Source organism: Homo sapiens, chromosome 4, assembly GCF_000001405.40.
Source record: "Homo sapiens chromosome 4, GRCh38.p14 Primary Assembly".
Classification (NCBI taxonomy): Eukaryota; Metazoa; Chordata; class Mammalia; order Primates; family Hominidae; genus Homo; species Homo sapiens.
This window is the reverse complement of record NC_000004.12, coordinates 171,889,746-171,907,625: the sequence shown is the minus strand read 5'-3', so window position 1 is coordinate 171,907,625 and position 17,880 is coordinate 171,889,746. Positions and strand designations below refer to the sequence as shown.

At 36.4% G+C, this 17,880-nt stretch overlaps 1 protein-coding gene across 2 annotated transcripts in view, besides 1 other annotated feature; it reads right to left on the bottom strand.

Annotated features, from left to right (window-relative positions):
- GALNTL6 (polypeptide N-acetylgalactosaminyltransferase like 6) overlaps positions 1–17,880 on the bottom strand; it is a 1,228,156-nt gene that overhangs the window by 1,133,934 nt on the left and 76,342 nt on the right. The gene's annotated exons all lie outside the window — the stretch shown is intronic.
- Positions 4,223–4,835: an enhancer, noted in NCBI's record as "NANOG-H3K27ac-H3K4me1 hESC enhancer chr4:172823942-172824554 (GRCh37/hg19 assembly coordinates)". NCBI's record gives its function as "activates a minimal SCP1, AML or CMV promoter by ChIP-STARR-seq in naive H9 embryonic stem cells {active_cell/tissue: H9 hESC(naive)}" and the evidence as "EXISTENCE:reporter gene assay evidence [ECO:0000049][PMID:30033119]".

Here is a 17,880-nt window from a genome sequence, read left to right as displayed (position 1 = left end):
TGAAGAAAGTCATTGGTAGCTTGATGGGGATGGCATTGAATCTGTAAATTACCTTGGACAGTATGGCCATTTTCACGATATTGATTCTTCCTACCCATGAGCATGGAATATTCTTCCATTTGTTTGTATCCTCTTTTGTTTCATTGAGCAGTGGTTTGTAGTTCTCCTTGAAGAGGTCCTTCACATCCCTTGTAAGTTGGATTCCTAGGTATTTTATTCTCTTTGAAGCAATTGTGAATGGGAGTTCACTCATGATTTGGCTCTCTGTTAGTCTGTTGTTGGTGTATAAGAATGCTTGTGATTTTCGTACGTTGATTTTGTATCTGAGACTTTGCTGAAGTTGCTTATCAGCTTAAGGAGATTTTGGGCTGAGACAATGGGGTTTTCTAGATACACAATCATGTCATCTGCAAACTGGGACAATTTGACTTCCTCTTTTCCTAATTGAATACCCTTTATTTCCTTCTCCTGCCTAATTGCCCTGGCCAGAACTTCCAACACTATGTTGAATAGGAGTGGTGAGAGAGGGCATCCCTGTCTTGTGCCAGTTTTCAAAAGGAATGCTTCCAGTTTTTGCCCATTCAGTATGATATTGGCTGTGGGTTTGTCATAGATAGCTCTTATTATTTTGAAATACGTCCCATCAATACCTAATTTATTAAGAGTTTTTAGCATGAAGGGTTGTTGAATTTTGCCAAAGGGCTTTTCTGCATCTATTGAGGTAATCATGTGGTTTTTGTCTTTGGTTCTGTTTATATGCTGGATTACATTTATTGATTTGTGTATATTGAACCAGCCTTGCATCCCAGGGATGAAGCCCACTTGATGATGGTGGATAAGCTTTTTGATGTGCTGCTGGATTCGGTTTGCCAGTATTTTATTCAGGATTTTTGCATCAATGTTCATCAAGGATATTGGTCTAAAATTCTCTTTTTTGGTTGTGTCTCTGCCAGGCTTTGGTATTGGGATGATGCTGGCCTCATAAAATGAGTTAGGAAGGATTCCCTCTTTTTCTATTGATTGGAATAGTTTCAGAACGAATGGCACCAGTTCCTCCTTGTACCTCTGGTAGAATTTGGCTGTGAATCCATCTGGACCTGGACTCTTTTTGGTTGGTAAGCTATTGATTATTGCCACAATTTCAGAGCCTGTTATTGGTCTATTCAGAGATTCAACTTCTTCCTGGTTTAGTCTTGGGAGAGTGTATGTGTCGAGGAATTTATCCATTTCTTCTAGATTTTCTAGTTTATTTGCGTAGAGGTGTTTGTAGTATTCTCTGATGGTAGTTTGTATTTCTGTGGGATCGGTGGTGATATTCCCTTTATCATTTTTTATTGCGTCTATTTGATTCTTCTCTCTTTTTTTCTTTATTAGTCTTGCTAGTGGTCTATCAATTTTGTTGATCCTTTCAAAAAACCAGCTCCTGGATTCATTAATTTTTTGAAGGGTTTTTTGTGTCTCTATTTCCTTCAGTTCTGCTCTGATTTTAGTTATTTCTTGCCTTCTGCTAGCTTATGAATGTGTTTGCTCTTGCTTTTCTAGTTCTTTTAAATGTGATGTTAGGGTGTCAATTTTAGATCTTTCCTGCTTTCTCTTGTGGGCATTTAGTGCTATAAATTTCCCTCTACACACTGCTTTGAATGTGTCCCAGAGATTCTGGTATGTTGTGTCTTTGTTCTCGTTGGTTTCAAAGAACATCTTTATTTCTGCCTTCATTTCATTATGTACCCAGTAGTCATTCAGGAGCAGGTTGTTCAGTTTCCATGTAGTTGAGCGGTTTTGAGTGAGATTCTTAATCCTGAGTTCTAGTTTGATTGCACTGTGGTCTGAGAGATAGTGTGTTATAATTTCTGTTCTTTTATATTTGCTGAGGAGAGCTTTACTTCCAAGTATGTGGTCAATTTTGGAATAGGTGTGGTGTGGTGCTGAAAAAAACATATATTCTGTTGAATTGGGGTGGAGAGTTCTGTAGATGTCTATTAGGTCCACTTGGTGCAGAGCTGAGTTCAATTCCTGGGTATCCTTGTTGACTTTCTGTCTCGTTGATCTGTCTAACGTTGACAGTGGGGTGTTAAAGTCTCCCATTATTAATGTGTGGGAGTCTAAGTCTCTTTGTAGGTCACTCAGGACTTGCTTTATGAATCTGGGTGCTCCTGTATTGGGTGCATATATATTTAGGATAGTTAGCTCTTCTTGTTGAATTGATCCCTTTACCATTATATAATGGCCTTCTTTGTCTTTTGATCTTTGTTGGTTTAAAGTCTGTTTTATCAGAGACTAGGATTGCAACCCCTGCCTTTTTTAGTTTTCCATTTGCTTGGTAGATCTTCCTCCATCCTTTTATTTTGAGCCTATGTGTGTCTCTGCATGTGAGATGGGTTTCCTGAATACAGCACACTGATGGGTCTTGACTCTTTATCCAATTTGCCAGTCTGTGTCTTTTAATTGGAGCATTTAGTCCATTTACATTTAAAGTTAATATAGTTATGTGTGAATTTGATCCTGTCATTATGATGTTAGCTGGTTATTTTGCTCATTAGTTGATGCAGTTTCTTCCTAGTCTTGATGGTCTTTACATTTTGGCATGATTTTGCAGTGGCTCGTATCGGTTGTTCCTTTCCATGTTTAGCGCTTCCTTCAGGAGCTGTTTTAGGGCAGGCCTGGTGGTGACAAAATCTCTCAGCATTTGCTTGTCTGTAAAGTATTTTATTTCTCCTTCACTTATGAAGCTTAGTTTGGCTGGATATGAAATTCTGGGTTGAAAATTCTTTTATTTAAGAATGTTGAATATTGGCCCCCACTCTCTTCTGGCATGTAGAGTTTCTGCTGAGAGATCTGCTGTTAGTCTGATGGGCTTCCCTTTGAGGGTAACCCGACCTTTCTCTCTGGCTGCCCTTAACATTTTTTCCTTCATTTCAACTTTGGTGAATCTGATAATTATGTGTCTTGGAGTTGCTCTTCTCAGGGAGTATCTTTGTGGCATTCTCTGTATTTCCTGAATCTGAATGTTGGCCTGCCTTGCTAGATTGGGGAAGTTCTCCTGGATAATATCCTGCAGAGTGTTTTCCAACTTGGTTCCATTCTCCCCGTCACTTTCATGTACACCAATCAGACGCAGATTTGGTCTTTTCACATAGTCCCATATTTCTTGGAGGCTTTACTCGTTTCTTTTTATTCTTTTTTCTCCGAACTTCCCTTCTCTCTTTGTTTCATTCATTTCATCTTCCATCGCTGATACCCTTTCTTCCAGTTGATCGCATCGGCTCCTGAGGCTTCTGCATTCTTCATGTAGTTCTCGAGCCTTGGTTTTCAGCTCCATCAGCTCCTTTAAGCACTTCTCTGTATTGGTTACTCTAGTTATACATTCTTCTAAATTTTTTTCAAAGTTTTCAACTTCTTTGCCTTTGGTTTGAATGTCCTCCTGTAGCTTGGAGTAATTTGATCGTCTGAAGCCTTCTTCTCTCAGCTCGTCAAAGTCATTCTCCGTCCAGCTTTGTTCTGTTGCTGGTGAGGAACTACGTTCCTTTGGAGGAGGAGAGGCGCTCTGCTTTTTAGAGTTTCCAGTTTTTCTGCTCTGTTTTTTCCCCATCTTTGTGGTTTTATCTACTTTTGGTCTTTGATGATGGTGATGTACAGATGGGTTTTTGGTGTGGATGTCCTTTCTGTTTGTTAGTTTTCCTTCTAACAGAGAGGACCCTCAGCTGCAGGTCTGTTGGAGTACCTGGCCGTGTGAGGTGTCAGTCTGCCCCTGCTGGGGGGTGCCTGCCAGTTAGGCTGCTCAGGGGTCAGGGGTCAGGGACCCACTTGAGGAGGCAGTCTGCCCGTTCTCAGATCTCCAGCTGCGTGCTGGGAGAACCACTGCTCTCTTCAAAGCTGTCAGACGGGGACATTTAAGTCTGCAGAAGTTACTGCTGTCTTTTTGTTTGTCTGTGCCCTGCCCCCAGAGGTGGAGCCTCCAGAGGCAGGCAGGCCTCCTTGAGCTGTGGTGGGCTCCACCCAGTTTGAGCTTCAGGGCTGCTTTGTTTACCTAATCAAGCCTGGACAATGGCGGGCGCCCCTCCCCCAGCCTCGCTGCCGCCTTGCAGTTTGATCTCAGACTGCTGTGCTAGCAATCAGCGAGACTCCGTGGGCGTGGGACCCTCCGAGCCACGTGAGGGATTTAATCTCCTGGTGTGCCGTTTTTTAAGCCCTTCGGCAAAGCGCAGTATTTGGGTGGGAGTGACCCGATTTTCCAGGTGCCGTCCATCACCCCTTTCTTTGACTAGGAAAAGGAACTCCCTGACCCCTTGTGCTTTCCGAGTGAGGCAATGCCTCGCCCTGCTTCAGCTCGCGCACGGTGCGCGCACCCACTGACCTGCGCCCACTGTCTGGCACTCCCTAGTGAGATGAACCCGGTACCTCAGATGGAAATGCAGAAATCACCTGTCTTCTGTGTCGCTCACGCTGGGAGCTGCAGACCGGAGCTGTTCCTATTAGGCCATCTTGGCTCCTCCCCTCTCACCTCTCATTTTCAAAGGGATATCAATCTCTTTAAGTTCTTAAGTACTTCCACTTGAGTTAGAATATGAGCTTCCATTTGATGTTTTTAGACTCCTTCTTCGTCTTTGACTGCATGAATAGCTGTAATGATTGTAATGAAGAATGACATAATAGAGTTTATCTTCCTAAATAGTTTCTCCTCCCTACTGTGGTAAAATATATAATTCAGAACAATACCAGTAACTATATTGACCTTCTTGATAGGGTACTAGAAGCAATTATTTCAAAACTATCATATTTACTATATGTTAAGTATCCTTTCCATTTTCTGTCCCTCCAAGATAAACCAATTAATGTCCACGTCTAGATTAGCCACACTGTCTATTCATATCTTTCCTTTTTCAATGTTAGTGAATAGAAGTCCTACAAGAGAGAAAATTCTGAACCCTGAAAATTCATATCCTGAATTTTTCATATCATATTCACTTCGCTTCTTTCAATGACCAGCCTCCCTACCCTCTCACTGATAACTTCTCTACTCCCTTGCTGTACTGGCTATTGCCAGTTTGTTTCTTTCATTAATCTCTTTCCATACATCATCTGTCCTGATTCCTGTGTCCCTTCAAAACATCAATTGTTGATTCTCCTTGCTTTCAGAGTCAACCTCCTTGATGAAGTCACTGAATGTCCTCGCCTGTCATCAAATTGTCAATGGTGCCTCTAGTCTCATTCATGAAATGAATCTGCTCTTGAAGATGATGAAATCAGCATTCATCCTCCTCCTTGATTTTTACTGCACTTCCAAATTTGCAGACACCTGAATTTCTAATATTAACATTTCTTGCACTCTGTGATAATATACTTTCCCACCTCTCTCTTTTTTTACAACCTCCTGAATATGGAAGATTTATCACTTTGTTTATCATTCTCTTTGTCTTACTTCACACAACTCATCCCTCCTAAGGCTTCAATTAGATTCTTACCTATGGGAACTAAATCTCCAGCCAAGAGCTGTCAGGCTTGAGCTGTGTATTTCTTGTTGCTTATATAACACTGCTTCTTGAAGTTCACAAACTTAAATAAAATTGAACTAGCAACATTCCCACTTATCTCTCTAAATGTTATATAGCAATACAATCTTAAAGACTATCAGAATGATGAGCTGTATGCATGTTTTAGTTTTGCTCTCTTTTATGTCCAAAATCCAGTTATTTATCTGGATTTGTTTCCCTCAGATTAATTTGTATAATTAATTAATTATAAAATTAACTATAATATTAGAATATTATCAACTTTGTGTGAGACAATATTAATTTTTTCTCCCATATGATTATGTCAAATCACTCTTCTCTGCTAGTTAGAAGATATCTTGATTAATATATTGGATGAATTTTACAACTTCCTAAACACTTTTAAAAATCCAGTTTAGAATTGTAAAACAAATTCAAATTCAGACAGCCTCTCTTCACCATCACTCTTCACATCTGCAGCTCCAGGGATCTGAAACTGTCTGTTTATTCTGTTCTCCTCCCATTCTAGCAGGTAGAAAAATAAAGAAAACATGAACATGGTCTGGTCCTGAGATGCCTCCTGCCCACCTCCATGCAATTGCTCTGATTACATGAGGAAGGGGAGTGGGGGAGGAGGAAAGAAAAATATTTCCTTACTTTACTTCCCTCAGTTGTAATTGTTTCCCTGCTGTTTCATGGCTTCTCTGGCCAGCTTCTCAGGGTGCAGATGCTCCCTGGTGGTAGGTGTCTAGTTGCTACTGGAAAGGTTCATGTATGTTCTTCAGAAGGCCTTTGTGGGGGCTTCTAATGCCCAGCTACCGCATATGGAAAATGGTTCAATCATTTTCTTACCCCCTCTGTTGTTGTACTCTATAGTCTCTTGTCACCAAGATTTTATTCTGTATCTTGCCTTCCCAATCTTCTTAAATATAGTCTGGAGGTAGAGGGTGGGCAGGGATTTGCTGGTTAAGCAGTATCAACATTTCCGTCTTTTAGTAGGCCTAGTATGATCACTGCTACTCCAAATCTTTGTTGTTCTCTTGGCCCCAACTTTAAATCAGGGTAATTCAGCACCCTGCAATAGTGTCTCAGATTAGCTCTATTTGTCTTCCTTTATTATCAGTCTTCCTGGCCTGTTTTGGACATTTTGTGCTCTGAAATCCTGCTCCATAGTTTTGCCCTCATCATTATTAAATTCAATTATTTTCCATTGCCTCCTTAATCAAATCCATGTTTCTGAAAGATATTCTAATATTTTAGTTATTAGTCTGTTTTTGATGCTATAATTTATAAAATTCTTGTGGAATAGTCTAACCTTAAGAGGTTCTTCCTATATTTTGAACCTCCTATGTTTTTTGTAATTTCAAAACCAACATCAATCTCAATTGATTGTTTTCTTGTTTCATTTACCCAAGGACATATTTATCATTAATAATTAAATAATTATTTTCACATATAAGTCCTATATCCTTGATCAGATTATGAAATTCTCAGGAAAAGCCATGTGTTTTCTAATGTTTTAAAATAGCGCTGGCTCACACATGTAATCCCAGCTCTTTGGGAAGCCGAGGTGGGTGGATCACGAGGTCAGGAGATTGACACCATCCTGGTTAACATGGTGAAACCCCATCTCTACTAAAAAAAAAAAAAAAATACAAAAAATTAGCCGAGTGTGGTGGCACACACCTGTAGTCCCAGCTACTTGGGAAGCTGAGGCAGGAAAATCGCTTGAACCTGGGAGGCAGAGGTTGTAGTGAGCCGAGCTCACACCACTGCACTCCAGCCTGGGCAACAGAGTGAGACTCTGTCTCAAAAATAAATAAATAAATAAAATATCACTAAGTATGAGACTTGTGGGATGATTTCAAATATGTGAAAGTTTTAGCGTGAATTGTGTATTCATGAAAAAATTGATGACTGCTGAGAACATTTTTCTACTTAAACCCAAGACGATGAACCCCATCTTTTTTATAATACAATTTTCTATAGTAAATATGACATGATATAAATATCTGTTTAGAGGAAGAAAATATTCATTTTATTCAATAATTATTGTTTTGGTGACACTATACTCCATAACCCTCATTTAGTTTAATAAGATCATATAAATATTTGATATATTCAGAATAGAAGTCAAAGAATAAAATGATCCTCCCATCTTAAGCATTCATATTACAAAAAGAGGTCTTGACTTACCAAATGACAGACACATAGAGGGAAGTAGGGTGTGGAAGGGAATGACTTTTGTAATCAAGTATGATAAGAAATTGTTGAAACAATTACATGGAAAATGATATGCTTTTAGTTAATTGTGTTAAGAAAGACCTGCAATAAGTGAAATGGTTTTTAGCACGAATTCTCCATATTTTTATAATGGGCTGCTTTTGGGTTTGTCAATATAAAGAGGTCCAAATATTAGCAGATGACACTCAAACAATAGGGTTTTCCAATTTAGATTCCTAGCAATTAGTCTTTGTTCTATGTGTATAGCATACATAAATATGTGATTTAACTGTGATAAATTCTAAATGGTGAATTTCAGGAAAGCATATGTCTGAGTTATATTCTCTCAAAATGGAGTCTGTAACATAAATTTTGCCATCTATTTTAATATCTGTAATACTAGACCGTGATACATTAAATAAACGATTTTCCTGCTGCTAGGAAAATGGCAAGAGCCCTGACATCTCTACTTTTATTAGTTTTCTAATTTTATTTCTAGACTCAGAGCTGATTTGATAAAAAGTTGGGTTTCTGGTTCACCAATATAGAATAAACTCTGTAAACACACAAAGCCATAATGTAACAGGAAGACTGAAATACTTTGAATGAGAATAAAAATATATTTTTTAAACGCTACTAGTCATTAGGGGTAACCACCTTGGGAGCCTTTGCCATAGGGTAACACAAACAGTAACTTTTCAGTGCTAATTACATTTTAATTCAAGTTCTGAACATTTGAAATCTGCTGGAAAATGTTTTCATCTTTAAATGATTTAAAAATTAATTTGTATAGATATTAATACTAAATTTTTATTTAGTATTAATAAATACTAAATAAAAGTAATACTAAAAGTACAATTTCCATTGGCAAAATGATCAGAAATCAAAATGATAAAATGCCCCTGAATGTATTCACTAAATATATGCTGTTTAACTACAAAACAAAAACAGAAAAAAGAAATCTATATTGAAACTCAATTGCTTGCTTCTTTAATACCAAGACTATGCTCATGCAAATAGCTTATTGTTCCCCATAGTTTATTTTGATACAATTTATATACAAAAATATTCACTAGGCTAACATTCTGACGCATTTTGGCAGTTGTACATTATCATGTAACTATGAACACAAAGTATCAAACATTTCTAGAACCCCACAAAAATAAAATTAAAAAAAACTACAACCTACAACACCTTTTATATTTTGCACTCAATCCCAACTCCCAGATCCAGGCAACTGATAGGTTTGTTTCTGTACCTATAATTTTTTCTTTTCTAGAATATCAAAAATATGGACAAGTGGAGTGTTTTCATCATTCTTCTGGCTTCCTTACATAGGTTGATACTTTTGTGATTCATACAAGTTGTTTATATACCAGTACTTTGATACTTTTTACTGCTGATTAGTATATGATAATATAAATATAAAAATTTATTTATCATTCACTAGCTGATGGATATTTGTGTCTCTAGTGGTTAGTTATTATAGGTAATAGTTTTAAGGATATTCACATACATCTTTTTATAGGTATGTGTCTTCATTTCTCTTGGGTAGATACCTAGGAATAAGATTGTTGAATCGCATGCTAAGTGTATGATTAAATGTCAAACTACTTCAATGTGTGTGGCTGTATCATTTTGTGTTTCTATCAGAAATGTATGAGAATACATTTCCTCCATACCTTCTCCAGCACTTGGTATTATAAGTCTTTTTATTTTTAATAATTAATATGGGTATGTCATTGTAACTTTAAGATGCATTTCTATGATGAATAGTGATGGTAAGCAGCTTTTCTGATGTTTATTTGCCTTTCATATATCTTTTGTCAAATGTCACATTCAAAACTTTTACCCATTTTTAAATTGAGTTGTCTTACTGAATCATAAATATTGTTTATATATTTTGGAAACGATCCTTTGTTAGATATAGTTTTGAAAACATTTGTTCCTAGTCTTTGACTTTCCATTTATTTATTTATTTATTTTTGAGACAGAGTCTCACTCTGTCACCCAGGCTGGAGTGCAGTGGCACGATCTCGGCTCACTACAACCTCCGCCTCCTGAATTCAAGCAATTCTCTGCCTCAGCCTCCCGAGTAGCTGGGATTATAGGCGCCTGCCACTATGTCTGGCTAATTTTTTTGCATTTTTAGTAGAAAAGCGGTTTCACCGGGAGGCGGAGCTTGCAGTGAGCCGAAATTGCGCCACTGCACTCCAGCCTGGGCGACAGAGTGAGACTCCGTCTCGAAAAAAGAAAAAAGAAAAGGGGTTTCACCATCTTGACCAGGCTGGTCTTGTACTCCTGACCTCGTGATCCACATGCCTCGGCCTCCCAAAGTGCTGGGATTGCAGGCGCGAGCCACAGCGCCCAGCCACCTTTTATTTTTTTAAATGGTGAATTGTCAAAGAATAATAGATTTTAATTTGGATAAAGTCCATTTAACCATTTCTTTCCCTCTGTTGTGTGTGTTTGTATCTATGCTCTTCAAGAAATCTTGTCTAACACAATGCCACAAATATTTTCCACTGTCTTCTCATTGACAATTTATATTCTAGCACTTTGATTCTACAATCTTTTATTTAAAGATTGTCAATTTTTGTGTAATGAATAAGATAAAGATAGAGGTTCCTTATTTTACATATGAATGCCAATCTTCTATCACCATTTGTTGAAAAGACTATCCATTCCACAATGAATTAACTTGTCACCCCTGACAAGAGTCAATGATCCTTTGGTTTTAATAACTTATTTTTATTGTTCTTCTGTTCTCAATTTCTAGATTTTTTCTTTTGTCTCTAACTTACACTTTATTTTCTATTCTTTTTCTGATTTATTTAGATAAAAATGAGGTCTGTACATTTTCATTGTGATTTTCAGTTAATTAATATTTAATATAATTTATTGTAATTGGATTGCGGTCTATTATTGATCTATTATTTTATTATTTGTTTCATAATTGTTCCCATTTGGCTTTTGTTTTTCCTTCCTTGGCTTTTCTTAGTTTGTACAAATTTTAGAATTAAATTTTAATTTTTCAATTGGCTTTAAACTATACTTCTCTGTGTTAATTTCCTATTGGTTGTATAATAGATTACAGTCTACATACTTAATTTTCACAGTTGATGCAGACTGAATGTTTTTGTCCCCCTCAAATTCATACAATAAAATCTTAATCCCCAGGTCATGGTATTAGGAGGTGGGGCCTTTGGGAGGTGATTAGGCCATGTGGGCAGAGTCATAATGAATGGGATTAGTGTTACGAAAGAGGCCAACAGAAAGACCTCTTATCCTTTCCACCACAGGAAGGCACAGTGAGAACGTGCTGTCTGTGAATTGGAAAGTTGGCTTTTACCAGACAACAAATCTGCCAACATGTTGAACTGGAACTTCCTAGGCTCCAGAACCGTGAGAAATAAATTGTTGTCATTTATAAGCCATCTAGTTACAGTAGGATGGACAGACTATGACAACTGTCTACTTAGAATTAATGTACTATCATTTTGTATAAAATACAGAAATCTAGGCACCATGTAGGTCAATTTATTCCCAGTCATGACTGAGGCTATTGTTGTCATGTGTATTAGACTTATATGTGTTATAAATGTTTACAAGACAATGATTACAGTTTTACTTTAAACAGTAATATGCAGTATTAAGAAATTAAGGAAAGAATAAAATAAATAATTAAAACAGAATGTTATGCTTACCCAGATATTTTTCATTTTAAGTATTCTTCATTAAATCTGTAATATAAATCTTTATTCAAATTTTAGAAAATTTCAACCATTACGTTTTAAATATATTTATGCCTTTCCCTCTTTTTCCCTGATGGACAACCAATGACACTTATGTTAGGTTATTTAGTATCTAACAATATTTGGAGGCTCTGTTTATTTACTTTTCAGCATTTCTGTTGATCTATTTTGAGGTTTACTGACTTGTTCCTCTGCTGACTCCATTCTGCTGTTAATTCTATTTAGTCATTTTGTTTTCTGTTTTTTTTTTCACTATTGCATTTTTAAAAATCAAGATACATTTGGTCTTTTTAATCATTATTATTTCTTTGCTCATATTTCCCATCTTTCATTAAGTGGAGAAGTATTTTCTTTTATGTAATTGAGTATGGTCAAAATAGTGACTTTAAATTTCTTTCCTACTAATTTCAGTGTCTAAGTCATCTATTGCAGAAATGGCTTCACTTTCTTTCTTTCTTTTTAATTTTGAGAATAAGCTCTTTATTCATGCTTCTCTTATGTCACATAAGACTGCATTTTATCATAGACGTCATGAATATTAAGCCGTGGAGACTGGATACTCTCTTCTTCCATGAGTAATTTTCAGTTAGTTAGTTTTGTCTTGTCTTAGTCTTGGACAGCAACTCGGTCCTCACCTGAGATCCTTTGCCTTAGCTAAACTGCTCTGACTCTGCTTTATGCATACACGACTCAGAGGTCTATCACAGATGCAGGCAGATTAAATTTGGGGATGCCATCTCTAGATATTCCTCTTCTAGATACTCCCCTCCCCCTACTCCAGAAAACAGAGTTGCCATGACTCGATATTTTGATTTCCCAGACCAGAGAATTGGAGCTTTTTTCACGCAAGGGATTCTGCTCATCTATGACTGCTAACAGTCCCTACTCCCAGGCTAGAAAGAGTGAACGCAAATATAACTCCTCTTCTGAACATGGACACCACAGAAGACTTTGTATTAATATTTTTAATTCTAGTAGCTGCTTCAAGATATTGTGTCCAGATTTTACAGTTGTCACTTATAAAGATGTCTAGTTGGAGCTCATGTAGACATTACAGTCCCCAAATTCATCACTACTTAAAACAATAATTAAAATTAAATCATATATGGTCTCTTCTAAGTGTTCTGTCTGACTTTTAATATTCCAGGTCACTTCTTCCACCACCACACATTTTTGTTGTGTTTTGTTTTCCATTTCTATTATGATGTCATTTAGTCATGTGATTTCTCTAGAATATCCATCTTATTCCATGCCTTGTATCTTTGGCTTTTAATTTATGTATTTTATTTTATCCTTGAATTTCCATGAAAAAAAAAAGTCAGTCTTTGCCAGACATGTCTCAAATAAGCACACAAGTCCCTTGGAACTCTTTCAGCTCATGGTGTGACAATAGGCCCCTTCAAAAATGCACTTGAAGCTATTTTGGGGCGATTCAGTATCAACTTTGTCACTTGAATCATTTAACTTTGATTTCATCATATTTAAAAGAAACAGTTGGGCCAGGTTGGGTGGCTTCTGCCAGTAATCCCAGCACTTTGGGAGGCCAAGGTGGGAGGATTGCTTGAGGCCTGGACAAAAGAGCAAGATTCCATCTTTTCAAAAAATTTCAAACATTAAAGAAAATATTTATGTTTTCTTTCTCTACAGTTACTTTTTCACTTTCATTTTAATTATATTGTAAAAAGAATTAACTACTTACTATGCCTATCTAGAGTAGTCTTGTGCAATTACTAAAAGGGCTGCACTTCTATTGCTGTACATATTCTAATATTAATTATTAATCATAATGGCATCAACATGCACTGGCTATCCCTCACCTTATTCCCACCTGGGGAGTGAGCCCTATCTTGACTAAGACCTCTGCCTTGCTCTACATGGGTTGTTTGTCAATTTCTCTAGAGTGACACTAAATCAAGTGCAGCACATGGTAATGTAAATCACAGTCTAATTTAGTTGTCACTGTGTTGTGACACTTGGTTAAAAATGCTTTTTAATTGTGAGTATAAATTATACATGAACAATTCTTAGTGACAGTCTTAATACTACATCCGATTATTTTACCCAAGAGAGAATAGCAAGCATCATCAACATGAAGCAACTGCACGTCTAAACTTCTTAAATAGCAACTTGGGGAAAAATAATGATGATGATGTGTTCTGGTTTAGTTTCAACCCCAAGCTCTTTGGCTAGAGAGGGGTGGGTGGGTGGGCAAAGGAGGAAAGGAAGATCTTTGGGTATTTTGAGACTGAATTGTGGGACTATGGCTTACAAACACAGCCTTCTCTCTTGGCTATCCCACTCTATGGCCCTGAAAACATGATCTGAAATAGTTGTTTTTCAGTTTAGCAGTCTGTAGAAATGAACTACTTCATCATGGCATTGTATCTTAGTATCAGAGAACTAGTAAGTAGACTTAGAGGAAAAGTGATTTTTCTAAGTACCTGTTTAAACTTACGAGTTCTTAAATATTTTTAAATATATATTTCCTCATTTTTAAAGCATTTTGCTTCAATTAAGGGGATCCCAACTAGCTGTGGCATGTCTAATATTCAATAATATTACATAAATAAAAATGTTGATTCAGGAACACAGATATTGGGCATTTTCTATTTTCTACATCTATGTAAAATACGTGACAAAAAATTAACCTAATTGTATTCTGATGTCTCTATTCCTGAAACACAATATATTTTCTTACATATGAAGGTACCACACTGGTACTATTATTCATTTTACTGAGAAAGACAGACTCATGTTTGGATCTAGGTTTTATAGTCACTATGCCTCAGTTTATTCACTAAAAATAGGATAGTAATATCCATCTTACATAGTTGTTTTGAGGTTCTAAGGAGACAGCTTTTGCAAGCAGGTTGCATATGAGCTAGTATGTTATAAGTCAGAAGGAGTTCATATCCCTTCAGCAACAATTCCTGCCCCTTATGGATGTGGATTAATTCCTGAAGCAGTCTGCCGTCTTTGAAGTCAAACACATTTGAATTTCTGCTTAGGCACTGTAACTTAAATTCTGTTTGGGAGGAAAGACCTCAACATCAATAAACCGCACATTATCCATTTGTGAAACCGGGATAATAATTCCTACCTCATTTATTCATTTTTTTTTCATTCACTAAACACATACTACCTATTATTGTCAGATACTGCATGGGTTTCTGGGAAATGAGCAATGAACAGGGCAGATATGGTCCTTCCTGGGCCATACACTCCAGCAGGGTAAGTATTAAAAGTTGCAGCTAATTAAAAGTGCTTGATAGAAAACTTTCAATAAATGTTCTCTGTGGCTGAGCATGGGGGCTCATGCCTGAAATCTCAGCACTTTGAGAGGCCGAGGTTGTAGCATCACTTAAGACCAGGAGTTGGAGGCCAGCCTGGGTAACAGCAAGACCTCGTCTATACAAATTTTTTTAAAAAAATTATCCAGGTGTTGTGTCATAAAGTGTAGTGACAGCTACTTGGGAGGCTGAGGTGGGAGGATCATTTGAGCCCAGGAGTTCAAGGCTGCAGTGAGCTGTGATCACACCACTGCACTTCAGCCTAGATAACACAGAGAGGCTTTGTCTTAAAAAACGTTATTTGTAATTATTATATTATAAATGTTATTGTTACTATCATTATGAAGAGGAGGATGATGAGAAGAAAACATAACACCTGATTCATATTGTTCATTAGAATAATTTTGGCATTTGTAAGGGATATTTACTTTTCCTTTTCATTTCTCTTTTAATGGTAACTATTATACTTTTATCAAAGGAAAAGTAGCATACACATGTGTCCCTGTTTAGAGGAATTTGAACATGCCACCTTGAGAAGCTATTGTTGCTTGAACCATCTTTCCCCATCCTCTATATATGGGGGATACCACCACATACACAGGCTGAATAGCCCTTATTTGAAATGCTTAAAACCAGAAGGGTTGGATTTCAGATCTTTTTGGACTTTGGAATATTTGCATACACATAATGAAGTATCTTGGGGATAGGAATCAGGTCTAAACACAAAATTCATTCATGTTTCATATACACCTTACACAAATAGCCTGATGCATTTTAAATAATTGTGTGCATGAAACAAAGTTTTGACTGCATTTGACTGTTATCTGTCACATGAGGTTAGGTGTGGAATTTTCCACTTGTGGCATTATGTTGATACTTATAAAGTTTTGGATTTGTGAGCATTTCAGATTTTGGATTTTTGAATTACAGATGCTCAACCTGTAATAGCGTTGCCAGATTTAGCAAATAAATATATAGGATGTTCAGTAAAATTTGAATTTCAAAAAACAGTGAATATGTTTTAGTATGTTTCAAATGTTGTAGTGGGCATACTTATACTAAACAGTATTCGTAGTTTAACTGAAATTCAAATTTAACTCAGTGTTCTGTATTTTACCTGGCAACTTTAACCTACAGATACCATAAAAGCACTGTCAGGGAAATTCTCTGACACTTTTCCTAAACATTTGTAAGATTTTCCCAATGTCAAAAATACTCACTACAGCACAAAATGAACACAGATTATCTAGTTTTATCTTTGAACTGATGGTCGAAAGACTTTGAAATTTGCTCCAGTATGACACTACAGAAATCACTGGAATTTTTTTTAAACAGGACTAACATTGAGACAATGATTTCTTCAAACTCTCTTTTTTTCAATCTACCTGTTTCCCTAAACATGTATGCAGAAATTAGTACAACAACATACAAATAATTTTAAAATGCTTAATTAAGTCCATTCTTTCCTCAAGATTCTTCAAGGCTGCATAGCCAGGTGTGAGAATGAAACATGACAAAAGGATTGAAGAAACAGACTCCAAGAACGCTGGCTCCAACCACCCTGAAGGTGGCTGCCTTGGTTACCCTAGATATGTGCCTCCAGTGGTCTGAAAGAAAATGTTTTAGACTTTTGGTCTTAGAGAAAAACATCTGTTCTAGTTTCACAATGACTTCACTCTCTAAAGTAGCAAACATGAATTAGGTCAGTGGAATCATGAATCTTTGACCATGATGTTCCTATAACGTCAGGGTAGGAGTAAGTTCCTTTAAATCAGGGAATCACTTTTTACTGGTAATTGATAACAGAGAATGAAATAAGCAAGCCTGAGTAGGAGAAGGGCTTTGGGAACAAGAGTAGCTGGCTGGAAGGACCTGGAGTAACAGGACCAGAATGTGACCTTTATTGTAATGACGACAACATGAAGTTATTTAGCAGTAACAAGAACACAATAAGAAGGGATAAGGCTAATTAGCAAAACAAGAAATCTGTATTTAATCATCTTTAAAATTTTACCGGTAATGACTTGATATTGTATGGGACCTCCACCCCTAACCTTTCTCTAGAATCTGGAATTGCACAGCCTAACAGAGAGTTTGACTATATGTCATTGGTTATTTCAATGTTTAATTTCTATGACAAAAAATGTTACATACAAGGGTGATAATAAAAAGTAATCTTAAGTGTACCAGCTGGAAGTAACTACAAGTATAATGCTTATTGCCAAAGAAAATTATAATGCTTATTGCAATAAAATAATTTGAAGATCTTCATTAGAATTTATTTTAATATTGCCATCAGGTTATTATATGGCAATTTTCTCCATTATTTTATTCATCCCTCAGTTCATATCTTTCAAGAAGATAGGACATAACTTTTCTATAAACAGATAGGGAAATTAAAATATAGAGAGAGTACATGTCATTTACATAAAGCTTTAGAAATGAAGGTGTATAAAAATTATAGTGTCCATATTGATAATGTAAAGTTGACTATCACAAATATCCTTTGGGATTTTAAAAGAAACAAATGAAGGAAAGAATTTTCTGATTTTCTGATTTTCCTCTAGAGCTAGTATATCTGAAGAGAAGAAAATTAGAAGAATGTAATATATGGTTTTATAAAAACCACTTGACTTTGCAGGTCTTGGAAATGATGATATATACATATAGAGAAAGCCTGGAAAAATAGACCTCAGCTGTTAAAAGTGATTGCTTTTGGTATAGACATGGAAATGGAGTAGGACAAGGGATGTAAGTACACAGAAACTTTAACTATTCCTTTAGAATATTTCTGCCTTTCTATAATTTTAAAATAACAGTCATACATTATTTTGAAATTAATTTTAAATGAATTAAAGTCTTTCTCCTGGACTTTCCACTGGCATTAACAGTTGGGTACTATATGCTAGCTGTCAAAATATTGGAAAGCTTTTAGTACATTTATTCTTCCACATTGCCAAGTGTGGTAGAATATTTGCAAAACATACCGTATGTGAGTCTTAGAAAATGACTTGACTTTTACATCACACCTGTTCACTGCAACTGCTCTGCTATAAACTTCATAGTGATAACTTATTCGAAAGCATCTTTGGCAATGCAAGTGAGATTTTTTTCACCTTGTTA